This window comes from Homo sapiens, chromosome 8 (genome assembly GCF_000001405.40).
Source record: "Homo sapiens chromosome 8, GRCh38.p14 Primary Assembly".
In the NCBI taxonomy this organism is placed as follows: domain Eukaryota; kingdom Metazoa; phylum Chordata; class Mammalia; order Primates; family Hominidae; genus Homo; species Homo sapiens.
The window spans coordinates 46,926,622-46,954,394 of NC_000008.11; the positions used below are offsets into that span (position 1 = coordinate 46,926,622).

Here is a 27,773-nt window from a genome sequence, read left to right on the forward strand (position 1 = left end):
TTCCCCTAATAAGTCTCTTCTCACATATCTCTGTCTGTAGCTAGATATTGATATCCTACTGGTTTTTTTCTGGAGAACCCCAGCAAAAACACCATCCATTGATTCAATTGCTAATCTCTTCCAGAAACACCTTCACAGACTCACCCAAAAATGCTTTACTAGCTATCTGGGTGTCCCTTAATCCAGTCAAGTTGACACATAAAATTATCCATTGCAAGGTGAGACAACAACCCTGGCTTACACCTTGTTTGCAGGCTTGTTCCAGGGCCAGAATCAGAGGACTCAGCCCCACTGGGCCTGGATTCCTGACCCACATAAACTGTGAGATAAATGTGTCATGTTTTAAGATGCTAAATTTGTGGCGATGTGTTACACAGCAGTAGATGGATAATACGGACTGCCTTCTCTAAGAACCTGCTGCTCAACTCTCTGTGCAAGTCTTTATTCTTCAAGATTTCTCCAAACTTTCCTTCTATACAGGGTTGACTGAGAAAGTCTTTCAATGGATGACAGCACCTTGGAAGAGGGAAAACTGCATAAATTCTACTTCATCAACACACCAACAGTCCACTCTATGCTTAACACAGAAGGAATGTGATGCCCTGGGCAGGAGAGCATTTGGTGTTTAAGTGCAATGACCCCTAGCAATAGCCACAATTGTTACCACTTGTCTCAACCTAAATAATTTCTACTGCATATCTAAGCTTCTACAGAACTTTTGCATAACAAACAAGTATGGTTTCTGTCAGTAAATGTAAATGCTCAGGATGTATTGCTGGCACCCTCATTGCCTTTACTTTCAGAAGCAAAGGACACACAAGGTCTTTCCCATCTCATTCGCCCTCTTTTAGATAAAATGACAGATATGACTTCTGGATCAGACCCTGGTCTGACTTGCCTACTTGTTCCTCACCTTTGAACATTCTGGCTCTGCTGCCAATTAGAAAGTTTTCCATCACTCTTTCTAGTGTGTCATTGTAAAATCCAAAGGAAGAAAGTACACCTCCCACGGGTCCTCTCTAGTTTAGGGAGAGTGTTCCTGAAACATGTGTTAATAAACACGTACTTACAATAACACATATTGGCTCACTGGCTCAAGTATAAAATCCCAAGACCCAGGGCGTCCACATACCCAAATATGGCTCCTGCAGGGCCCTTCCTCCAACCAGGCTCTCCAGGACCACACATCACCCTGAGAGCACCTGCACCAGCCCTCCCCTCCCTGACCTTGTTCCCCAAAATTCTCCACCTGGGCATCAGGTTCTTTCATGTTATCCCTGAGCTCACAGTCCCACAGAAGGATGTAAAACATCATTCCCACTCCCTCATGTGGCTACAGTGGTGGAAATGAGTGATGCTTCAGAACTGTGCTCTTCCATGTGCTTCACACTGCCCTTTCAAAATGCACCTTTACAGGTATTGTTCCACTCAAACGTCAGAACAATCTCATAGTAGACAGGCAAGAAATTATTTATTCCTATTTTAAAGATGATGAACGTGAGACCCAAAACAGATCGTGTGACTTGCCTTAGTCACAAAACCATTTGAGGCAGCTTTTCTTAAGTACGTTGGGTTCAGTACTTTCCTTTTAGTTATCCCCTCAGTCTTCCAAGGTCTAGTGGGGATGATTCCTGCAGAGAGAGGTCAGTGTGGGCCCACAGTGTGTGCTGTACATTGCCCTCATCTGGCCTCTGCCATTGGATTCTGCATCCTGGATTCCTGAGGCTGCACTCAGCCTGCTGTGGAGACCTAGTACCCAGATCCATGGTGCCATTGGTCTTGGCTTGCTGTAGACACTCCTCGGCTATGTCTGAGGTCTGGGATAATTGTTAAATATGCAAACATTCACTTCTGAAAGTTGCACGGATGAGATAATAAATGTATTGTCACTCTTCATGAGCATCAGTGAACATTGCTTACCTCACTTGGAGCTGTGAGATTTCACAATCTGTTACTTTGTAGCAAACTTGATATAAATGTAATCCTTCCATTTCTTTTCCTGCCTCAAACATAGGTCAACTGACTCTCTTCCCAAAGTCATCCACACCTGGGGATGAGCTTGCCCACATCCTGCAGAGGAAAAGCCAACTTTTGTCAAAAATCAGAATGCACCAGCCTTGCCTTTGGAGCCACCTACATCGACTTCCTGAACCATGCCTTGCTGAGGGCTTGTTTCTGTGGAGCCAGCCTCTTCTCCCTGCCTTAGGGAACACTTCTCACCATGGTTTGTTTCAAACTGCAGAGTTCTAGGTATCCGAGAGCTGAGGGACCTTTGTCAGCCATCTCTGAGGCTCAGCTTCTTGGGCTCTACAATATAGATAATAATGCCCAGTTCATGAGGTTGTCTTGAAGGCAAAATAGGTATGCAATGTGATAAGGTGTCACAAAAAAAGGTGAGAGGTTTACTGATTTATTTTGTCTCCAATGTACCCAAGTCATCCTCCAAACTGAAACCTTGTCACTGACCCACCAACAAACCCTGCCATGTGCCACAGCCTCATGATTCTCTCCTCTCACTAGAGGAGTGCATGGAGTGAATTTTTTCCACTTGGTGATCTTTTTGTATTAGTCATTCATTAATTCTGCAGTTTGATGAGGGTCTGCTTGTGCCAGCCTCTTACTATTCACCTCCCTCTCTCCTTAATTCACATGAATGAATTTTTTCATTCAGCTACAATGTGCATTCAAGGAGCATTCACAAACAGCACTCATTAGCTGTGGAATGATGCCAAGTGGCTCACGTGGACTGAAGCCCATGTGCTTGGTCCATGAACAACCTTCCAATCTGCCAGGTTCAGCCTAGTTTCCAGGTTCTACACACAGCCTCCTCACCACAGCAAGGCCACTTGATCCCTATCTACAGAAAGTGTCAGCCCTTCTAGCAGAGGTCCTGTAGTACTTCAACAACTATGGCCACACTCAGGGACTTGATATTAAGAATACTTATTACCAGCCCAACTCTGACCTAGTGCCCAGAATCCAGTAGTATGGTTTCTGAGCCCAAGCCCTACTCTGGGCTTTAATCCTTAGGACTATATTTCTACCCTGGGTCCTGTTTTAGCGGATGCCTTAGTACTCCAAGTCTCTCCTGAGTCCAAAGCACTGCCTAGGTATTACCAGCCTTTCCTGAGAATAAGCCCTCAATTCTAGGCTGACTGGGGTTCTGCTCCATGTGAAGAGACTTCTGTGGGGCTCAGCTGCCTAGACTCCCAAATTCCACCCACTCTGTGTGTCAGAGAAACTTTTGCTTCTTTACTTTGGGCCCAACCTTTCTTGACTCTCTACCTGGTCCACCATTATCATGTGTATTTAGATGTCCTTCATGGCCAACCAAATGGAGTTATTCACCTGTATCAACAGCAAGATCAAGTACCCTCAGGTGCAGTCCCACCTGTGTGGGAGAGTCTATGTGCAATCTCTCACCTGGTCTCCTACTCATTTCTGATGAATCTGAAGACAAGGCCAACAAATTGGATAAACAGAGTCCACCACCTCCCTCACTCAGTGTTGAGCAGATTTCTGGGGTTGCTGTCCACTCTCTCATGGTCCCAGGAGCTCTAACATGCCCCAACTTTGTCTTGACTTTTGAGGCATTCTGCCCTTTCCTTCAGTGAGGAGTTGAGACAGAGAGGCTGTAGACAGGAACGGCAGGGGTCTGGGCTTGGCTACATTGCCTCTGACTGGCACTTGCTCCACTACACTTCTTCACAGCCACACGTGAGACCTTAGAGGGATCATCAAGGTCATTGCTCATCCCCACAGGAAAACCAGCCTTGGAAAATAAATAAACGACCATGGACTTGTTTGATGGGCCAAAGACAATAAAGGGGCTGATGTTTGACAAAACAGTAAAGACACCAACCAGTTAGCGCCCCAAACAATGCAAGTTATCTAGAAAGGGAAGAAAGCCTTGGCATGATTAATTAGCACCTGGAATACAAATTCACATGAGAATGAGGAGAAGACACATAAAGTAATAAATGCATTGTGAAATCCAGATCTTGAGCTTAGTCTTGATATTTTTTAAAAAGTCAATTATTTTCAGCAATGCCTGAAAATCATGTTGTTTAACGAAGTAAGAAGAAGACTTTTGGGGTAGAGAACTGTGTGGTGCACACATCCTGAGATGATAAGTTTCTGATGTCAAGCCCCAGGCTTCCAACAAGACAAGACAGACATGAGGCAGCTTGTTTATATCTCAGTGAGGGAGGGAAGAGGAGGGCACAGGAGAACATTCCAGGGAGAAAAGACACAGAAGCTGCTAGAAGATGGATGCACAGCTGATAAACCCCCTAAGGAGAGACAGGGAGAAGACAGCCATTACGTTAAGTTCTGTTATAGAGACAGGTAAGTCACAGATCTTTTCATCTATCTGGCTTGGTTTGGGTTCCTTCTACGGTGTGTGTACGTCTGTTTTCTGTTTGTAATTTACTCTGAAGTGAAGCCTTCCTGCAGGCCATGTTTCTCATCTGTAAGGCATGGCTTCTCTGGGTCTGATGGAAGGGCCTGCAGTGCTTGGTGAGTTCTCTCAATCCCACTGGGCAGGATTCCCACATCTCCCAGCCCTGCCTCTGTTCAGCTGTCAGCTGCGGAGGCCTTCTCTTGCAGAATGTGGAGTTTGAGCCTGCACATGCCCAGCCAGCCCTGAAACAAGGGCATGGACATGGAGAACCCATGCGGATGTCTGCCCTCACCTACCATGTGACCACAGGTGCCGCCTGCCTGCCTCTGCAGCTGCAACTCTGCTCTGAACTGGGCTCCAGGGCTCAGTGAGGCTGTGGCTCTTCCTGCTGCTTCACTCCCCACCATCCTTTGCTGTGGCCAGGAGGAAGAAAGCCATGGTGATGTTGGGGTGACGGTGGGCTCACTGTGTGTGTCTCTTGCCTATGTCCACTGTTCTATATCACCTGCTGATTGATGCTGGAGGGTTAGTCCAGTACCAGTGACCATGCCACAGTGGAAAGCAAAATGCCACATATGCACAGACCACATTGTAGAGGCTGATGAGCACTTCCCGTGGTGGTTCTAAATAAGAGAGTGCATAAAGGGGCAAGTGCTTTGTTTCCCAGGGAGCGCAGGGCTGTAGAGGCACCATCTCTGATATTTGCCTGGGATACACCAAGCCAGGACCACATTATCCCTGTGTGGTGGGGGCAGTACAGGGCCAGGCCCTCTCTCCAGGGCCCACTGAGGCAGGCACAGGAGCAGCACACCTGCATTACAGACCCAGTGACTCCAAGAACAAGTGGAGCTAAGCACACAGCCCCTGTCTTCTGGCCGCTGCTCCCAAGGCTGTGCCCCCTCCCTCACCACTCTCCATACACCTGGATCCACCTGGATTAATCTCCAATCAGCCAAGCCTAGAACTGACACTTATAACACCTTATGATATGAAGCCCTTTATGACTTTGGAAGGATTAATCCATTTGTAGCCCCTCTGAGAAGTACAGCATCCTACAAATTAAAGAAAATAAAGCTCATAGAAGGGGGGTGGCCGGTAGAAAGTCACCAGCCAAATATGGAGCAGAGCCAGGCCCATGGCTCTGCAGGGATCTCAGCTGCTGAGTGAATGGCTGGGGAGAGGCTGGGCACTTCTAAAACCCAGGCCTCTCCTTTTGCTGGGCGCTCCATCAGCCTTTCCTGTGGTGCTGCCAGCCCTGGACTCTCTCGGTCCCCTGGACCCAGATTCATGTCTCCAAGTGTCCATCTCTGGGGCTATTTTTGTGGCCTGGAGTTTTGCTCCTTGGAGATGGCCACACATGACTCTTCTATCTGGGTTATAAACTAATGAGAGCAGTAGAGGCCATTTATCATTTTAATGGGGTCTTCACATTCAGATATTAGGGCCTCTAATTTATTGGAGCTTTAGAGTAAAATACTAAGGAAATCACTACCTCCTGCAACCAAGAGGTTCTGTGAGGGCTTTTCGTGTCACCCACAGAGAGATCCTGAGACATATGAGACCCCCTCCCTTCTCCCAGCCTCACTCCCCACGGAGGCAGCTCCTCCTGCCTGGGCTGGGCCTGGCCTGGCCTCCCATTCTGTGTCAAGTTCTGCCTCTCACCACCCACTCAGCACAAGCCCAATAGTTGTGGGGTTCTGATTCCTCCACAGCAGGCTCTGGGGCCTGGCTGCACACTGCCCTCGCCACCTCCTTCCCACCTGCTGATGCTTGAGCCTTCCCTCACTGCCACATTCCACAGCTAAGGTCCCACCACGTCAGCTGTGCCATCTCCCCAGTAGGGTGCCCACCAGGATCTGCCTTCCAGCTGCTCACAGGACAACAGGGGAAACCTTCTGGAGCAGCACAGAGGGGCCCAGAGCCCCAGGTGTTGCAAGGGCAGCAGCTTCTCTGGCCAGGGTGTGTCTACGTGCCGTCCTGGGCCTCCTGTATCTTAAGAGAGTGCCTGCTCATAGACGGTACCTGACAAAAGAGCACTGGGCAAGGGCCCTGGAGACATCCTGTGTCAGGCCAGCCACATACGGGACATGGCCCTCTTCTGAACTGTAGGTCACTTGTCACTGTGAGCCTCGGTTCTTCACTGGGATGCCTGACTCATTGTCACTTACAATGGGCATGTGAGTGTCGCCTGAGTGTCACTCAGCTCTCCCCCACTTGTCCCAGGAAGAGTCCCCCTGGATGCTCCCTATCTCCACAGACCCCTGCTGTGATAGCCCTAGGCCTGGAAAGACTATCCCTGCAGCCCCAGGACCAGCCAACTCATCCACACTTTCCTGTGGGCCACCATCCCCCAGGTGCCAATTCAGCTGAAGTGAGGACACAGCGGGCAGCACTGAATGATATTCCCTTCTACCATGGACCTCATAGTGCTGCCTCTATATGGCCCAAAGCCTTCTGTGGCCTCAGCTTTTTGACACCCACAGTGATCCTGCCTGCTATCCTTGTCCACACTTTCACAGGTGAGGGAGCCTGAGACTATGCGAGGGGAAGGACCTCCCCAGAGCCTCACAGACAGTGGGTGATGGAAAGAGACTGGCACCGGGCAGTGTGGCCCCAGGGTGAGAGCCCTGCCCTGCTCTCCTGGATACAACAGCCCTTCAGCCTGACTGCTCCCAGAGCCCACAGGCCTGGCCTGGCCCCATGCTCCCCCTGGCAGCTGGCTGCCCTTGCACCTGCTACTTAGGGTGAAAGTTGGCTTCACCCCACCTTTGAGAGGGTCTTAAGTATGTTTTGCCCCCTCAGATTCTCATCCCTCAGGCCTCACCACAGACAAAGACCCACAGCCTAGGCCCCATTTCCCATCCCTGTAACTGGCCCTTCCGAAGGAGAGTTTCCATGCAGAGGTCGCTCCTGGAGCTCAGCAGGACTTAGAGCCGGTGGCATCAGCACCAAGGAGTCCCTCCTTGACCAACTGTAGTCCAGCTCCTCTAATCCCTATTCTTGACTAAGCCTGAACTTGGGCTTCTGTAGATTCCTGCTAAATCAGTTTAGTGAGGAAGCCCCCTTCCCAACCTTGATAATCTGGCTCCTTGGCTTGTTTTTAGAAAGACACTTTTGTAGCCCAGTTTAATAAGAACCCCCCTTACCTTGATACCTCATCAAGTTCCTCTTAGTGACTGTCCATCCGCTGACCCTCTGCTCATTGTCCATAAACACTCCACTCACTGTCCATGCTGCCTCCAGAGCTGAGCTCAACTCTGTACTGAGGGTCGTAGCCTAATGCAGGAGTTCCAATAACATCTGTCTTGCTGGTTTTCACAAGTGTCCGGAGCAGATTTTTTCTTTTACATATGTCAACATCAGGATGAGAGACACACACAGTAGCAGGGGTCCTGTCCTCACATCGTTCTTTCCAGACTAAAAAACAAAACAATTTTTTCAACCCTTTAAGCATTAAATATATACATGAAAATGTATGCATATGGGTAAAATGTGGTATATTTTATGAGTTGAATACATCTGCTCATGCAGATCAAGAATCCAAATGAGACCAGCACCCTCCCTTTTAATGATGAGTTTCCTCAGAGCCCAGCCTCAAATCATACCTCAAAGTGGAAGAAGGACCCTAAATAGGCACCTACTGCTCAGATTCAACAAGTTCCAGCTGTAACTTTCCTTCGCCACATTTACCCTAGCCCTGCTTGGGCTGAGGGGTCTCTACTGTACATGAGTAAATTATTATATTACAAACATAACATGCCAAGGGCAAGAAATATGAGGACAACTTTACAAATGATTCAAATGCTGCCTTGTGATTTTCTCTTAAACCATAAACACTTCTTCTTGTTAATTAAAATTCTGGCATTCCTGAGTAGACTGTAAGAGCTGTGAGGAAAATTAAAAACAATTGTGGTTATCCCCATAGATTGAGCTCTCATCCTGTGTCGGGGACTGGTGTAGTGACAACATCTATTAAGCATTCCGTTCTTATAGCCACTGTGTAAGGTGAGTATTTAATAAGAGGTTCTGAGGTGCCACATTGACAACCAAGAGGGGTCTGCATAACCTCTGAGAGCAGGACTGACCACAGAACCCTGCCATATTGAAGGTGTGACCCCACAAAGACAGGGTGCTCTCCTGAAAGCCTTGCTGTCTGACCAAGGCCAAGCCCAGCCCTCTGCCAGATGAGGGTGTTCACAGCCCCCTGCTTCTTCTCTGAAAGATGTCACACTCTTTAATATAGATATGGGTGAGGGTCTCTAGAATCTGAATGATTGTATCTTCCTAAAATTCATATCTTGAAATCCTCACCCCAAAAGTGATGGTATTAGGAAGTGGGGCTCATGAAGTCATAAAGAAAGAGCCCTCAAGAATAGGATTGGTGCCTTTATAAAAGAGGCTCAGAGGCCCTTGCCCTTCCCACCACACAGACACAGTGGAGGCACCATCTAAGAATGAGGAAGAGAGCCCTCACCAGGCACCAAACCCCCTGGTGCCCTGATCTTGGGCTTCCAGCCTCCAGAACTGTGAGAAATCAATGCCTGCTATTTGTAAGCCACATAACCTATAATCTGTACAGCAGCCTGACTGGACTAAGACACATGGGTGAATGTCTCCTGCTACACTTCATGATTTACTCTATGACAAAAAGATCCCTAAATCTAGAAAATCTCTTACAACCATTAATATTTTCTCCTCCTGGAAATAACAAAATGCATCAAGCCTATCCCATGAAAGCAGCAAAGATCTCCCTGCTCCTCTGTATTCCTGCAGCCTCTGTGGGGGAATCAGCCCCAGCTCACTCCTGAGTGTCCCCTCAGACAGACCAGGCCTGCCGCTCACCTCCAAGCAGAAGTTGTGAGCCTTGGTGTGCTCCCTCCTCACAACCTAGCGTGGAAACCCCACTGTAATTTTAAGTCCATGAAAGGCAGAGCTATGTGGGCTTCTCTGAAGGCCCAGAAGCTGTCTTAGGGTCCCATCAGCTTCCACCAATCCGTGGCTCCCTACTGACCACCCCACACTCATGCACACAACTTAGCTGCAGATAAAACCAGCAGACACAATCTCACTAATGTGGGGATTTTCTTAATTTAGAATTTTTATTCTTTCAAAGTCTATCTTTATCTTTTCATTTGTGTTTTAAAAAGATTTGCTAAGCAAATTAAGAGAATAAATGAGATTTAGTAAAAATGCTTGAACTGTTTAAAAGAACAAACATATTAAGCTCCTTAGGCATATAGTTTTACATTATAAAAACCCCTCAGTCTTAACCAAGCATTAAAACAGGTCCTCCAGAGACCTTACTAGATAATAATAATCCCCCTGAACCTACGGTTCCAAGCAGACTGTGCAGTCAGCCGGCCATGCTCCCCAGGCCCCATGAGGCCAAAGCAGCCCTGAGCTCCTTCCTCAGCCTCCCAAAGTGCTGGTATTACAGGTGTGAACCACCATGCTTCAGCCTTTCTTTAATTTTTAAGTAAGATTTTCTTTATTTCTTTGAAAAAATATAGATAGCTAATTGCTTTGAAGTCTCTTTCCTTTAAGTTCACCATCTGGGTCCTTTAAAGGCAATTTCTATCACTTGCTTATTTTCATGTGTATAAGTCACACTTTCTTTTTTCTTGACATGTCTCTCATGTTTTGCTGTTCAAAATTGGACATTTTAGATAATATAGTATAACAACTCTGAATATGGAGTCTACATCCCCCAAGGGTGTGGCATTGTTTTTGCTTCATTGCTTGCTCATTTGCCTGGAGATTTGGCTGAACCAATTCTAAGAGGTCTGTTCCCTCTGCAGTGTGTAGCATTTGATCTTTCTGAGAGAGAGAGAGAGAGAGAGAGATAGATAGAGAAGATGCAAGTCCTCTCCTTTGAGTGGTCCATTCATGTCAGAGAGCTACAGGAAGTACATAGGGCCCTGGTGAGCTCAGGGCCCATCTGTATGAGCACTAGGGTTTTATTTTTATCTTTTAACCTGGGTTTCTAGAGGTCAATTCTGGGTCAACAAAAGCCACTTATAGGTCAAATGTTGTGCTTAGGTCCACTTAGTTACATGTTTACCTTTTATTGTTAGATGTGTGTGTGTGGCTTAGAAACTCTAATTACAATACAGGGAGTTTATTTTTTGCTCCATTTTTTTCCCAGTGACTAGAAGCTTGGAGGTTCTTTCTCTAATTGCCTCTGAGAGGCAAAGCCTTGAACCTGCTCACTGTCTTCCAGACTTCTAGGGGGGCACTGAGAAGTTATTTTTAATGTGGCTTTCTGTTCACTTTGTGTTTAGCCAGGGGTTGTGCTGGGTGGCTTTGCCGGTGTGTTGCTGGGTCTGTGTGCAGCACGGGGAGTGCTTTCTTGCTTCTAATGCATCCTGCTGTGATCACTCCTGTGTTGGTGCTACCTAGACCACGCACACAGCATTCACACCCCAGAGTTCACTGTTGTTTCAGGGGGGCTCTTCTTATCCGTCTCTTTTCCTAGTTCTCTGTTAAAAATCTGGCTTCTCTGCTGTTTTACTTGTATCAAAGCTCCCAGCCTTATCATTGCTCTCCCCAGTGGAACCATTGCCTGTTCTAGTGCCCTCAGGCATTGAGCCCCTCACTTTCAGTCCCTTCAGGAACAGCTGCTGAGCTTTTCATCCTCATGCACTGCCTTTCTCCTTGGGCAGATCCCCTGCATCCTTGCATTGGAGTTGGTGGTAGAGAAATGGCTTTCTTGGATTGACACCGCTGCTCTATGAGGGGTTGCTGTTGGAGTGATTGGCAGCCCCTGGTCTTCTTGATGTGCTCTTACTGGTATGGAATTCCCATCGTGTGAGTGAGCTTAGGTGAGGCCAGTAGGAACCTATTACTCCCAGACTGCCATGCCTGGGATAGAGTTTCTGCCTCAGAGTGGGGGCTGATTTAGGGAAAAAGAGGACCAGTCCTCTCTCCCATACCTACCTGGAATACAGTTTCTGCAACACAAAGCCAGGGGAATGAGAAACTCCTGCAGCCTCCCCTTCCAGTGTAAAACTGTAGTCCTAGACTCTGGGCTGGGGAGAAAGAGCCCTCATTTTCTGGGCTGCACATGCCCAGAGCAGAGGTTCTGTAACCTGGGTTCACGGTGTGGATAATGGGGTCTCGGCTCAAATGCCACAGACTCTCACTGTACACCAAGGTTTGGTGGATTTTCTTAAATGCATTTTCTCCATTTCCTCTAGGTCCCTAGGACAATTTCCAGAGATGTTGAATGATTGTGTTTTTGTCTGTTTTGTTTGTTTTAAATAATTTTCACCAGTTACACTGTTTTGCTGGGCAAAGGGCCTGCCAAACTCTATTCTGTCATTCAGAAGTCCTGACTTCTCCTACTGAGTTTTGGGGTAGTTTCTTGAATATCAATATTCTCTTAGCTAATTGGTGGAAGCACTGATGCTGATAAGTGAGTCATGGCTTTCTGGAATGCTTGCTGAGAAAATGCCTGACAGGATCCAGGAGGGAAGTTGGCTGAGAAGGATTGGTGCTATCGGCCATAAGTGCAGCAGGAGAGGTTGTTGTGGATTCACTATCCTGGTGCACAGGAAAGGTAAGGGCACAAACTTGACACCTCTTAAACACAAGATTCACTTTTCTAAAATTATGATTTTATTTTCCGGTTTAAAGAAAATTATAATGCAAACAATTTGGAATTGGGAGAGACAAAAAGTAAAATAATATCTTCCAAATGATTTCCAGAAATAAACAATAGTTACAAACTAAAACTTCTGAAGCATGCTTCTGACTTAAAAATCTCTGGTTCTCTGTCTTCAATTCTGCATTGACAGCATCAACAGCACCAATTGTGGGTTGAAGACCATGGTCACCAGGCTATGGGCTTGTGGGACATGGATGCTGTAAAGACACTAGAGTGCGGCATTTCTTTTGAGAAATTGAAACAGACCATCTCTTATTTCTTCATCTTCAGAGCATATTTTATGTTTCACTTAAATACCACTTTCTGGCTTATCCTAGTGGAAGATTTTCCCTACTGCTCACAATAGATGAGATGGGATTACTGCCTGTAATCCCAGCACTTTGGGAGGCCAAGGTGGGTGGATCACCTGAGGTCAGGAGTTGGCCAGGTCAGCCTGGCCAACATGGTGAAACCTCGTCTCTACTAAAAATACAGGCCAGGCACAGTGGCTCATGCCTGTAATCCTAGCACTTTGGGAGGCTGAGGCAGGTGGATTGCCTGAGCTCAGGAATTCGAGACCAGCCTGGGCAACACGGTGAAACCCCGTCACTATTAAAATACAAAAAATTAGAGGCATGGTGGTATGCACCTGTAATCCCAGCTACTCGGGAGGCTGAGGCAGGAGAACGGCTTGAACCCAGGAGGTGGAAGTTGCAGTGAGCTGAGATCACGTCACTACACTCCAGCCTGGGTGACAGAGCGAGACTCAGTCTCCAAAAACAAAAAAAAAAAATACAAATGGCAGGCTCCTGTAATCCCAGCACCGCACTCTAGCCTGGGCAACAGAGCGAGACAGTCAGACAGAAAGGAAGGAAGGCAGGCAGGCAGGCAGGCAAGAAGGAAGGAAAGAAAGGGAAGAAGGAAGGAAGGAAGGAAAGAAATGGAAGAAGGAAGGAAGGAAGGAGAGAGAAAGGAAGGAAAGAAGAAAAAGAAAGAGGAAGAAAAGAAAGAAAGAAAGAAGAAAGAAAGGAAGAAAGGAAAGAAAGAAGAAAGAAGAACAGTTCAGATCCTGCTCCCAGAGATTCTGATTTTATTGGTTCTGGAATGACCCAGGGATCTTTATTCATTAAATACACCTCAGTTGATTCTAATATCGCTGATTTAAAGATCAGTCTTACTGTGAGAAACATTAATCTAGTATTGCAGATGTTTTCCCATTTAACATGTCATTTGAATCTCACAGGATCCTGGAGACAGAGAGAGAGAAAAGTCAAATTCATAGAAACAGAGGGTAGAATGATAGTTTCCAGGGACTTGGAGGAGTGGGAGATGGGGAGTTATTGTTTAATAGGTAGAGTTTCAGTTTGGGAAAATGAAAAGATTCTGGAGCTGGATGGTGGTGATGGTTGCACAACAGTGTATTTACTGCCATTGAACTGTAGGTTTAAAATGTTTATGATGATAAATTTTATGTTTTGTATATTTTACATTTTTTAAAAGAAACTTTCTCTGCCAGGAAGCCAAATAAATAGAAAAGATTCCAGGTATGAGAAGAACTTACCCTAAGGTGAAATATTAAACCAAAAGGCACAACACAGAGTAAGAAGTGTGTTTGGAGAAGTAAAGAAAACATTCCTAGCTTGGAAAGATCAAGGAAGGACTGCTGAGTGATACCTTTCTAAAAACTGTAACAGGAAAGATGGAATAAAGGGAGTTGGGCTGTAAGTTTTTGTTTTCATTTCTTAAGATTTCATGAAGAAAAGTTTTGAGCAGATGGTTTTCACTTTCTTTGTGGGGTTGGATCCAGTCCATCAGTGGAGGGTGCTGGGGGCTGGGGTGGAGGTGTGGTGAAGGGATATACTTAGCTGTGCTAAGGATGAGAAAGTTGACCATAGGGACAAGGATGCAAGTCAGAGGCCCTCATACAGATTGAATCTTGCCTGTTTTTATACCTTCTCTCAAGATAAGAGGAATATTTACATTGTTCAACTGTATTTTTATCAAATAAATTACATTTACATTGTTTAATGACTAAAAACTAAAAGGCAGGTCTGTCCAAGATGGCCAAATAGGAACAGCTCCAGTCTACAGCTCCCAGCATGAGCAAAGCAAAAGACAGGTGATTTCTGCATTTCCAACTGAGATACCGGGTTCATCTCACTGGGGCTTGTTGGACAGTGGGGGCAGGAGAGTGGGTGCAGCCCACAAAGTGTGAGCCAAAGCAGGGCGAGGCATCACCTCACCCGGGAAGTGCAAGGGTCAGGGAATTCCCTTTCCTAGCCAAGAGAAGGGGTGACTGATGGCACTGGGAAAATCAGGTCACTCCCACCCTAATACTGCACTTTTCCAACAGTCTTAGCAAATGGCACACCAGGAGATTTTATCCCGCACATGGCTCAGGGGGTCCCACACCCACGGAGCCTCACTAATTGCTACCGCAGCAGTCTGAGATTGAACTGCCAGGTGGCAGTGAGGCTGGGGGAGTGGCACTCACCATTGCTGAGGCTTGAGTAGGTAAACAAAGTGGCCAGGAAACTCCAACTGGGTGGAGCCCACCACAGCTCAAGGAGGTCTGCCTGCCTCTGCGGACTCCACCTCTGGGGGCAGGGCATAGCTGAACAAAAGGCAGCAGAAACCTCTGCCGGCTTAAATGTCCCTGTCTGACAGCTGTGAAGAGAGTAGTGGTTCTCCCAGCACAGAGCTTGAGATCTGAGAGTGAAGAGATTGCCTCCTCAAGTGGGTCCCAACCCCTCAGTAGCCTAACTGGGAGGCACCCCCCAGTAGGGGCAGACTGACACCTCACACAGCCAGGTACCCCTCTGAGATGAAGCTTCCAGAGGAATGATCAGGCAGCAACATTTGCTCTTCACCAATATTCGCTGTTCTGCAGCCTCCGCTGCTGATACCCAGGCAAACAGGGTCTGGAGTGGACCTCCAGCAAACTCCAACAGACCTGCACCTGAGGGTCCTGACTGTTAGAAGGAAAACTAACAAACAGAAAGGACATCCACACCAAAACCCCATCTGTACATCACCATCATCAAAGACCAAAGGTAGATAAAACCACAAAGATGGGGAAAAAACAGAGCAGAAAATCTGAAAATTCTAAAAATCAGAGCACCTCTCCCCCTCCAAAGGAAGGCAGTTCCTCACCAGCAATGGAACAAAGATGGATGGAGAATGACTTTGATGAGTTGAGAGAAGAAGGCTTCAGACGATCAAACTACTCCGAGCTAAAGGAGGAAGTTCAAACCCAATGCAAAGAAGCTAAAAACCTTGAAAAAAGATTAGATGAATGGCTAACTAGAATAACCAGTGTAGGGAAGTCCTTAAATGACCTGATGGAGCTGAAAACTGTGGCACAAGAACTACGTGACGAATGCACAAGCTTCAGTAGCTGATTCAATCAACTGGAAGAAAGGGTATCAGTGATTGAAGATCAAATGAATGAAATGAAGCAAGAAGAGAAGTTTAGAGGAAAAAGAGTAAAAAGGACAGAGCCAAGATGGCCAAATAGGAACAACTCCAGTCTACAGCTCCCAGCGTGAGCAACGCAGAAGACGGGTGATTTCTGCATTTCCAACTGAGGTACTGGGTTCATCTCATAGGGGAGTGCCAGACAGTGGGTGCAGGACAGTGGGTGCAGTGCACTGTGTGTGAGCCGAAGCAGGGCGAGGCATCACCTCATCCCAGAAGTGCAAGGGGTCAGGGAATTCCCTTTCCTAATCAAAGAAAGGGGTGACAGACAGCACCTGGAAAATTGGGTCACTCCCACCCTAATACCGCACTTTTCCAATGGGCCTAACAAACGGCACACCAGAAGATTATATCCTGCACCTGGCTTGGAGGGTCCTACGCTGATGGAGCCTCACTCATTGCTAGCACAGCAGTCTGAGATCAAACTGCAAGGCGGCAGCGAGGCTGAGGGAGGGGTGCCCGCCCTTGCCTAGGCTTGAGTGGGTAAACAAAGTGGCCAGGAAGCTCAAACTGAGTGGAGCCCACCACAGCCCTAGGAGGCCTGCCTGCCTCTGTAGGCTCCACCTCTGGGGGCAGGGCACAGACAAACAAAAGACAGAAGTAACCTCTGCAGACTTAAATGTCCCTGTCTGACAGTTGTGAAGAGAATAGTGGTTCTCCCAGCACACAGCTTGAGATCTGAGAATGGGCAGACTGCCTCCTCAAGTGGTTCCCTGAGCCCCGAGTAGCCTAACTAGGAGGCACCCCCCAGTAGGGACAGACTGACACCTCACACGTCCAGGTACCCCTCTGAGACAAAACTTCCAGAGGAACGATCAGGCAGCAGCATTTGCAGTTCACCAATATCCGCTGTTCTACAGCCACCGCTGCTGATACCCAGGCAAACAGGGTCTGGAGTGGACCTCCAGCCAACTCCAACAGACCTGCAGCTAAGGGTCCTGACTGTTAGAAGGAAAACTAACAAACAGAAAGGACATCCACACCAAAAACCCATCTGTAAGTCACCATCATCAAAGACCAAAGGTGGATAAAACCACAAAGATGGGGAAAAAAACAGAGCAGAAAAACAAGAAACTCTAAAAATCAGAGCGGCTCTCCTCATCCAAAGGAACGCAGCTCTTCACCAGCAACAGAAGAAAGCTGGATGGAGAATGACTTTGATGAGTTGAGAGAAGAAGGCTTCAGAAGATCAAACTACTCCAAGCTAAAGGAGGAAGTTCAAACCAATGGCAAAGAAGCTAAAAACCTTGAGAAAACTTAGATGAATGGCTAACTAGAATAACCAATTCAGAGAAGTCCTTGAAGGATGTGATGGAGCTGAAAACCATGGCACAAGAACTACGTGACAAATGCACAAGCCCCAGTAGCCAATGCGATCAATTGGAAGGAAGGGTATCAGTGATGGAGGACAAAATGAATGAAATAAAGCGGGAAGATAAGTTTAGAGAAAAAAGAATAAAAAGAAACGAACAAAGCCTCCAAGAAAGATGGGACTATGTGAAAAGACCAAATCTACATCTGATTGGTGTACCTGAAAGTGTCAGGGAGAATGGAACCAAGTTGGAAAACACTCTGCAGGATATTATCCAGGAGAACTTCCCCAATCTAGCAAGGCAGACCAACATTCAAATTCAGGAAATACAGAGAATGCCACAAAGATACTCCTCGAGAAGAGCAACTCCAAGACATATAATTGTCAGATTCACCAAGATTGAAATGAAGGAAAAAATGTTAAGAGCAGCCAGAGAGAAAGGTCAGGTTACCCACAAAGGGAAGCCCATCAGACTAACAACTGATCTCTCAGCAGAAACTCTACAAGCCAGAACAGAGTGGGGGGAAATATTCAACATTCTTAAAGAAAAGAATTTTCAACCCAGAATTTCATATCCAGCCAAACTAAGCTTCACAAGTGAAGGAGAAATAAAATCCTTCACAGACAAGCAAATGCTGAGAGATTCTGTCACCCCCAGGCCTGCCCTACAAGAGCTCCTGAAGGAAACACTAAACATGAAAAGGAACAACTGGTACCAGCCACTGCAAAAACATGCCAAATTGTAAAGACCATCAAGGCTAGGAAGAAACTGCATCAACTAACGAGCAAAATAACCAGCTAACATCATAATGACAGGATCAAATTCACACATAACAGTAGTAACCTTAAATGTAAATGGGCTAAATCCTCCAATTAAAAGACACAAGACTGGCAAATTGGATAAAGAGTCAAGACCCATCAGTGTGCTGTATTCAGGAAACCCATCTCACGTGCAGAGACACACATAGGCTCAAAATAAAGGGATGGAGGAAGATCTACCAAGCAAATGGAAAGCAAAAAAAAGCTGGAGTTGCAATCCTAGTCTCTGATAAAACAGACTTTAAACCAACAAAGATCAAAAGAGACAAAGAAGGCCATTACATAATGGTAAAGGGATCAATTCAACAAGAAGAGCTAACTATCCTAAATATATATGCACCCAATACAGGAGCACCCAGATTCATAAAGCAAGTCCTTAGAGACCTACAAACAGACTTAGACTCCCACACCATAATAATGGGAGACTTTAACACCCCACTGTCAACGTCAGAAAGATCAACGAGACAGAAAGTTAACAACGATATCCAGGAATTGAACTCAGCTCTGCACCAAGCAGGCCTAATAGACATCTACAGAACTGTCCACCTTAAATCAACAGAATATACATTCTTTTCAGCACAACACCACACCTATTCCAAAATTGACCACATAGTTGGAAGTAAAGCACTCCTCAGCAAATGTAAAAGAACAGAAATTATAACAAACTCTCTCTCAGACCACAGTGCACTCAAACTAGAACTCAGGATTAAGAAACTCACTCAAAACCACTCAACTACATGGAAACTGAACAACCTGCTCCTGAATGACTATTGGGTACATAACGAAATGAAGGCAGAAATAAAGATGTTCTTTGAAACCAATGAGAGCAAAGACAACATACCAGAATCTCTGGGACACATTCAAAGCAGTGTGTAGAGGGAAATTTATAGCACTAAATGCCCACAAGAGAAAGCAGGAAAGATCTAAAATTGACACCCTAACATCACAATTAAAAGAACTAGAAAAGCAAGAGCAAACAAATTCAAAAGCTAGCAGAAGGCAAGAAATAACTAAGATCAGAGGAGAACTGAAGGAAATAGAGACTCAAAAAACCCTTCAAAAAATCAGTGAATCCAGGAGCTGTTTTTTTTTTGTTTTTTTTTTAATTATTTATTATTATTATACTTTAAGTTTTAGGAATATGCAGGTTAGTTACATATGTATACATGTGCCATGCTGGTGCACTGCACCCACCAACTCGTCATCTAGCATTAGATATATCTCCCAATGCTATCTCTCCCCCCTCCCCCCAACCCACAACAGTCCCCAGAGTGTGATGTTCCCCTTCCTGTGTCCATGTGTTCTCATTGTTCAATTCCCACCTATGAGTGAGAATATGCGGTGTTTGGTTTTTTGTTCTTGCGATAGCTGGTTTTTTGAAAAGATCAACAAAACTGATAGACTGCTAGCAAGACTAATAAAGAAGAAAAGGGAGAAGAATCAAATACATGCAATAAAAAATGACAAAGGGGATATCACCACCTATCCCACAGAAATACGAATTACCATCAGAGAATACTATACACACATCTATGCAAATAAACTAGAAACTCTAGAAGAAATGGATAAATTCCTCGACACATACACTCTCCCAAGACTAAACCAGGAAGAAGTTGAATCTCTGAATAGACCAATAACAGGAGCTGAAATTGTGGCAATAATCAATAGTTTACCAACCAAAAAGAGTCCAGGACCAGATGGATTCACAGCCGAATTCTACCAGAGGTACAAGGAGGAACTGGTACCATTCCTTCTGAAACTATTCCAACCAATAGAAAAAGAGGGAATCCTCCCTAAGTCATTTTATGAGGCCAGCGTCATCCTGATACCAAAGCCTGGCAGAGACACAACAAAAAAAGAGAGTTTTAGACCAATATCCTTGATGAACATCAATGCAAAAATCCTCCATACAATACTGGCAAACTTAATCCAGCAGCACATCAAAAAGCTTATCCACCATGATCAAGTGGGCTTCATCCCTGGGATGCAAGGCTGATTCAACATATGCAAATCAACAAATGTAATCCAGCATATAAACAGAACCAAAGACAAAAACCACAACATTATCTCAATAGATGCAGAAAAGCCCTTTGACAAAAGTCAACAGCCCTTCATGCTAAAAACTCTCAATAAATTAGGTATTGATGGGATGTATCTCAAAATAATAAGAGCTATTTATGACAAACACACAGCCAATATCATGGCTGTGTGGGCAAAAACTGGAAGCATTCCCTTTGAAAACTGGTGCAAGACAGGGATGCCTTCTCTCACCACTCCTATTCAACACAGTGTTGGAAGTTCTGGCCAGGGCAATCAGGCAGGAGAAAGAAATAAAGGGTATTCAATTAGGAAAAGAGGAAGCCAAATTGTCTCAGTTTGCAGATGACATGATTGTATATTTACAAAACCCCATCATCTCAGCCCCAAATCTCCTTAAGCTGATAAGCAACTTCCGCAAAGTCTCAGGATACAAAATCAATGATGCAAAAATCACAAGCGTTCTTACACACCAACAACAGACAAACAGAGAGCCAAATCATGAGTGAACTCCCATTCACAATTGCTTCAAAGAGAATAAAATACCTAGGAATCCAACTTACAAGAGATGTGACGGACCTCTTCAAGGAGAACTACAAACCACTGCTCAATGAAATAAACGAGGACACAAACAAATGGAAGAACATTCCATGCTCATGGATAGGAAGAATCAATATCGTGAAAATGGCCATAATGCCCAAGGTAACTTATAGATTCAATGCCATCCCCATCAAGCTACCAATGACTTTCTTCACAGAACTGGAAAAAAAACTGCTTTAAAGTTCATATGGAACTAAAAAAGAGCCCGCATTGCCAAGACAATCCTAAGCAAAAAGAACAAAGCTGGAGGCATCACACTACCTGACTTCAAACTATACTACAAGGCTACAGTAACTAAAACAGCATGGTACTGGTACCAAAACAGAGATATAGACCAATGGAACAGAACAGAGCCCTCAGAAATATTACCACACATCTACAACCATCTGATCTTTGACAAACCTGACAAAAACAAGAAATGGGGAATCGATTCCCTATTTAATAAATGGTGCTGGGAAAACTGGCTAGCCATATGTAGAAAGCTGAAACTGGATCCCTTCCTTACACCTTATACTAAAATTAATTCAAGATGGATTAAAGACTTAAATGTTAGACCTAAAACCATAAAAACCCTAGAAGAAAACCTAGGCAATACCATTCAGGACATAGGCATGGAGAAGGACTTCATGTCTAAAACACCAAAAGCCATGGCAACAAAAGCCAAAATTGACAAATGGGATCTAATTAAACTAAAGAGCTTCTGCACAGCAAAAGAAACTACCATCAGAGTGAACAGGCAACCTACAAAATGGGAGAAAATTTTCGCAACCTACTCATCTGACAAAGGGCTAATATGCAGAATCTACAATGAACTCAAACAAATTTACAAGAAAAAAACAAACAACCCCATCACAAAGTGGGCAAAGGACATGAACAGACACTTATCAAAAGAAGATATTTATGCAGCCAAAAAACACATGAAAAAATGCTCACCATCACTGGCCATCAGAGAAATGCAAATCAAAACCACAATGAGATACCATCTCACACCAGTCAGAATGGCAATCATTAAAAAGTCAAGAAACAACAGGTGCTGGAGAGGATGTGGAGAAATAGGAACACTTTTACACTGTTGGTGGGACTGTAAACTAGTTCAACCATTGTGGAAGTCAGTGTGGCGATTCCTCAGGGATCTAGAACTAGAAATACCATTTGACCCAGCCATCCCATTACTGGGTATATACCCAAAGGACTATCAATCATGCTGCTATAAAGACACATGCACACATATGTTTATTGCAGCATTATTCACAATAGCAAAAACTTGGAACCAACCCATATGTCCAACAATGATAGACTGGATTAAGAAAATGTGGCACATATACACCATGGAATACTATGCAGCCATAAAAAATGATGAGTTCATGTCCTTTGTAGGGACATGGATGAAATTGGAAATCATCATTCTCAGTCAACTATCGCAAGAACAAAAAACCAAACACCGCATATTCTCACTCATAGGTGGGAATTGAACAATGAGAACACATGGACACAGGAAGGGGAACATCACACTCTGGGGACTGTTGTGGGGTGGGGGGAGGGGGTAGGGATAGCATTGGGAAATATACCTAATGCTAGATGACGAGTTAGTGGGTGCAGCGCACCAGCATGGCACATGTATACATATGTAACTAACCTGCACATTGTGCACATGTACCCTAAAACTTAAAGTATAATAATAATAATAAAAAGAGAAAAAAAACAAAAATATACTTCTCTCTATACCTATAGCACCCTTTTATGCCAGATAGACCTCCTCATTCACAAGCAGGAGCAGCCTGTGTCAGGCAGTGGGTGTGAGAGAGAGAGAGAGTGTGTGTGTGTGTGTGTGTGTGTGTGTGTATGTGTGTATTTGATGAGGGGATGTCATGATTAGCAACAATGGAAACAATTCTCTCCTTCCCACAAAATGGGACATCCTTTGCCGTCTTCACTGATTTTTCTTGTTTCCCACACCCTCAACTTTCACATTTTTCCCCACTGACTCATTCTCCTGGTGCTGTGTGGCTGCCCCATTAACCCATCGGTGAAAGCTTGTAATCCCTTTGCCCCGCAATTATGTCACCAAGCCAGGCCTCACGCAGAGTCTCCCTGGGGAGGGCCTTCCCTTTTCTAATGTCCCCAATCAGGAGGGAAAATTCTCTTTGAGTTCAAGACTTGTCCCAAGACGGGTGGACCCCACAGACATGGAATATCCTTAAGCAGCAGTCACCTTGACTCTTGGGCTTGTCATGCCCACTCGATGATCCTCCTTGGCAGTACCCCCAACACCAGCTTTCTTAAGGCTCCCTGACACTGTGTCCACTGGGCAGCGGCTAGATTTTTTTAACATCCAAAGAGTCACTGTTTCCTGCAAAACGTGTCATCTTTCAATGCTTTCAGAGCTGGGCTGCCTTGGTATGAGTGGCAGGTGGGGGCAAAGTGACCCAGGCCATGGGTTAATTTTTATGTCCCTGACTTGGAATCCAGTTCTTCTTGTGGATAAACAAAGAGCTGAGTACTGCTTGAACACACTTTGAGATCTTTTTTTCCTTTCTCTCCTTTCTCAGCCTAATGATATGTTTGTTCTCCATCGACCCCTGGGTGTGCTGAGACCTTGCCCCTGCTCTGCCCGCCCTTTGGCCTCCTGTCACTGTCTGCAGAAACAGAGCTGGAGTCCTGGACTCCTTGCTGCTCTGGAGAGGGGAAGGGCAGCTGGCTGCTGACCTGACTGTCCATGTTCCTAAAGGCTAAGCTAAGAATTGAGAGCAGTGCTCTTCCCTCACCCACACTGGGAATAAAAGGAGATTTTGGGAAACTAGAAGCCTATTTCCTTCCAAAATATTTAGGGCCATGGAGATCACTTCTTACCCTTCTGAACTTAGACCCCCAAACTCTAGTTCCGTATTTGGGACATGTAAAGTTTCTTGTCATTTTTTTTTTCCTGGAACCTGAGTGGGAAGGTTTTTACCCTATGGCACCTGCATAACCCCAAGCACTATATATAGCCCATGGCTGGTAGGTAGAATGGTGGGGAAAAACAGAGGGCTGAAAAATGCAAGCCTCAGACATGTTCTTTAGTGGACTCTATTACATGTTGAGCCCCTGCTGAGTCGCTCTTTTTTTGTAAGGATAGATTTTAGGAAACTGAAGATGCTGATGTGTGCAATACCACTACGTAGCTCTGCCTGACCCTTCAGCTTCAAGAAGTCCAAGCTGGCTGTCATTAACAGCTGAAAGCAAGCTCTTCTCTCTCAGCCCCAGGTGACCATCACAGCTGTATGAGGTAGACAAGCCTGGTGCTGTCTCCAAGAACAGTCTGAAAATAGGGATGCCATCAACTTTTACAAAGTGAAGACCCAACAAATTTTGCCTCCAAAAATCCCCAACATTTCTTCTGTGGCATCTCATATTATCACCAGTGGGTAAGAAGCATTGCCCATTTCCATCTTGTTTAATTCCTATGAGGGGCAGAACAGGGATGGGGAGAAGTGTTCCAGGTTCTGATTCCCTTTTTTTGGGCCTCTCCCTTGAGAACTCACTCTTTTGAGAACTGACTCCAGGAACTGCTGTCTTCAGTCTGGGGACTTGGAACTAATGGGAAGGGTGAGATGAAGGTGACCCCTGAGGAACTCAGGGTGGGGCAGCAGAACCTCACTTCAAAGCTCCCATCTTCCTCCTGACTCTGAGTTGCCAGGTGAATGACAAGAAAAAATGGGAGTTTTAGACCATCCTTCTCTCCTCTTTCTAAAAAAGCAGCAGGCTGGGCACAGTGGCTCACACCTGTAATCCCAACAGTTTGGGAGGCTGAGGCAGGAGAATTGCTTGAACCTAGGATTTCAAGACCAGCCTTGCCAACATGGAGAAACCCCGTCTCTACAAAAAATACTAAAAATTAGCCAGGTATGATGGTGCACGCCTGTAGTCCCAGCTATCCGGGAGGGTAAGATGGGAGGCCCCCTTGAGCCCAGGAGTTTGAGGGTGCAGTGAGCTGCAATTGTGCCATTGGACTCCAGCCTCCATCCTGCGTGACAGAGTAAGACCCTGTCAAAAAAAAAAAAAAAAACAGTGAACTTTTCTTAATTAATTACGTGACTTCCTATGCTGATTTAATTGAGATATTGCTTTCATGTTATTCACTTTTAAAATGGATCATGTTTTGTTTGACTCCTTCTCTGTCAATTTCAAATAAAGAATTGTTTTTCATATTTGCTTCTAAATGCATATTTCAGACAGCAGTCCTGGGACTCCTGGAAAGTCCTCTACTGAGAAAGAGCACAGATTTGCAGACCTTTGGGAACTTCTGCTCCATTCTCTAGGATTCTGCCTCCTGAGGACAAATGGAGGAGTAGAAAGCAGCCAGAGCCTCTCACAGGTCAGCACTGCTCTCCAGCTCAGCCCTAACTCTTAGGAGAGTTGTGGCCCAGAGCCTCCTGTGACGGAAAGGCTGCTGGTGAGCAACTCTTGAGGGCCTGTTCCCCTCTGGTGTCCTGAATTCTTTAACAAACCAATCTATGGGCCTGAATTCCATGGTATTTGTGATTTTACCACACCTGGGCAAATGGTCTGTAACTTTTGGATAAAAGCCTTTGTCCCCACCTACCTTCTGTGCTGCCCAACCTGTTCTCCTAGACCAATGCTATTCTAATGTCCCCCGAGAGTTCCCATTCCTGAGGTCTCTCCATCCCAAGGATAGATTATGAAAAGAGAAAATAGGAATAGGAAAACAGAAGTTAACCTCTAATGTGGGCAGCCCTTGGGATTCCTTACCAGATTGATGTCTGTGTCTTTTCAAACATGGATAAATATGGATATCACTGAATGCAGAGACATGATAGAAAGATGATCTCAACCTCACTCAAATAAAGAAAGAACCAAAGAAAGCCCCAGGGATTGTTAAAATGCAGAAGAAACCAGCCCAAATTCTCCAGCATCTGTAGCTAGTGGCTTCCCCGGGCAACTGAGCAGAGAATGTGCTCTCTAGACTAGAGTTCCTGACCCGCATCACAAAGATATGGTACAGTCACAAAGGGGTCTTGAGCTTAGGGAGGGGACAAAGGAGGAAGTAACCCCAAGGCCCCCATTATTCTCCCCTCTCTTCTCTGGTCCTTCCTACTTGTCACCCATAACTGTTCTTTCTATCATCTATCTATCTATTCACCCATCCATCTACTCATCATCTATCCATCTATTCACCCATCCACCTACTCATCATCTATCTATTTATCAGCAATTGTCATGTATCATCTGTCTATTATCTATCACCTATTGATCTATCAATCAATTATCTATCATCTATCACTTATTAATCAATTATCTATCAACTGTCTATCACAATCACTGTTTCAATCTATCCTCATCTATCTGGTACCTATTAATTTATATCATCCATCTGTCATCCATCAACTATCATCTGTCATACATTCATCTATTTATCTGTCATTTATTAATTAATCAATCAATCTATTATCTATCACCTATCACCAATTAATCTATGTCTCTCTTATACCTATCTTTCTTATCTATATATCATCTCCCTTAATGCAATTTCCTCTTTACCCCAACTTTACCCCAGATATTCATGAAATTTTCTTTTCTTCCTTAGAGATATGCTTGGACCTCACCATCTCCACAGCTTTTAGAGGTCTGATCACCTCCCAGGAATTATTATTAAATTTCCAGGCATTATTTTTAAAATGTTGACTTTAAAAGTATAATACAAAGACAGAAAATGTAAACATCATCAGCACACAGCATGACGATTTATTAATCACTGACTTACACCAAGAAACCAGCGCTGCATCAAAGCAGATTTCCCAGGATCTGGACGCCACCCTCACGCTCTCTGCCTATCACTCCTTAAGACCACCTCCCTTCTGTGCCCAGTGCATCACTCTATGATTCTCACCAGTGCTGATGACTTTCCCCAGGCACACTGTTTTGCTTCTCCTCTGTACCTACTCCCTTAGCCCTCGCAATATTCCTCACATTACATATGAGGAACCCAGTGAGCAGAGTTCACAGTGACTGCCAAGGTCACACTTCTAGGAACCACAGCAGAGCTAAGACCAACCCAGGGGCTCAGGCTCTGGAATCACATCCTTTAACCACTGGGCTGGGTTGTGTCAAGCATCATGACAGATGGGGGCATGGTTAGAGTGCACAGTGAGATGTGGGTTCACAATACTCTTCTTTTACTTCCTCTCACTTGCAGCAGAGTTCAAGTTGAGAAGATGTAAAAGAAGAGTATTGGGGGGGCCGTGGTGAGGAGGCAGGGCTACAAGAGGGGAAGGAAGGGTCACAGGACACAGCTATTAGGTGCAAAGGCAGATCTGAGCCTAGGGCAGATTAGGGGCCATTATTTATTTGCCATTTCACAGAGGACAGGAGAAATCTGAGGTGAGTAATAGCCCTGTATCCAGCAGGCGCAGCTCAGTGCTCTGCTTGAGGCTGTTGCTAGATGTGTCTGAAGTCAGTCATTGTCTCTGGACTGAGGGGTCAGGTGAAACCTGACTCCTTGGCACTCTGGGGGGCCTGGGTTCCTGACTGCACTCAAGCAGTTCACAGGATGTCTGCCCAGGTCCATGCTGTAGGAGGATCAGGGGAGAACTGAGAAGTGCGTGAGGCTCAAGGTGAGCATGGCAGGGCTAGGGGTGAGTGTGGGCTCCAGGACGGGTGGACTTGTCATGGTGGCCCACGGTTAGCTAGGGGAGGGGATGAGGCTATGGGGCAGGAGGCTTTCCTCTCAGCTCCACCACTCACTGGTTATGAACTGTGGATGGGCAACTTTATCTCTCAGAGTACTGCTTTCTTCATGTCTGAGACTGATTGCATCACTGCCCAAATCAAATTGACATGTGAATTAAATAAGGTAGAATTTTATTTATCTTATAGATGGCACATAAGGGCCATTGATACCTTTCAATTTCTCTTCCCTGTGTTGTCTTTGCTGAACTCTCTTCTCTTTGATACTGATCTAGGGTAAGTATTGATGAGATCTTACTATCTTGCAAAAGAGAGATAAAATGGAAAAATAATGTTTTCTTTGAATGATTTCTTGGTGTTAGGGGTTTCCATCACTCTTGCATAATTAGCAACAAGACCTGACTTAGACATTCAGCATGGAGCAAAGAACCCTGGCAGTACAGCCAGAACCAGCTGCGGGCTGGATGGGTGTATCAGTCAGTGTTCCCTAGAGAAATACTTACATATGATATACATTATATGTTTACAAGTATTATACATTCATATCAATTTATATAACTATGTAATTTATATTAATTAGATATATGACATAATTATATATAACGAGTATTATGGGGGCTAAGTCCTAAGGTCTGCAGTCATCAAGAGACCCAGCAGGTTCCAGTCCAAATGCTGGCAGCTTGAGACCCAGGAAGAACTCATGTTTCAGTTGGAGTGTGAAGGCAGGAGAAAGCTCATGTCCCAGCTCAAAGGCAGTCAGGCAGAAGGAGTTCTGTCTTAATGAGCTTTTGTGTTCT

At 45.2% G+C, this 27,773-nt stretch overlaps 1 long non-coding RNA gene across 2 annotated transcripts; it reads right to left on the reverse strand.

The window, feature by feature from the left end:
• Nucleotides 1-1,452: 1,452 nt before the first annotated feature.
• Nucleotides 1,453-25,263, reverse strand: LOC105375814 (uncharacterized). 2 transcript variants are annotated; one of them, NR_188092.1, is made up of 3 exons: nucleotides 25,042-25,263; nucleotides 7,549-7,819; nucleotides 1,453-2,307 (listed from the first exon to the last, which is right to left on the reverse strand). It is a non-coding gene; the product is annotated as an uncharacterized LOC105375814 (long non-coding RNA). The 2 variants fall into 2 exon arrangements; NR_188093.1 differs by lacking the exon at nucleotides 1,453-2,307 and adding an exon at nucleotides 3,983-4,292.
• Nucleotides 25,264-27,773: the final 2,510 nt, after the last annotated feature.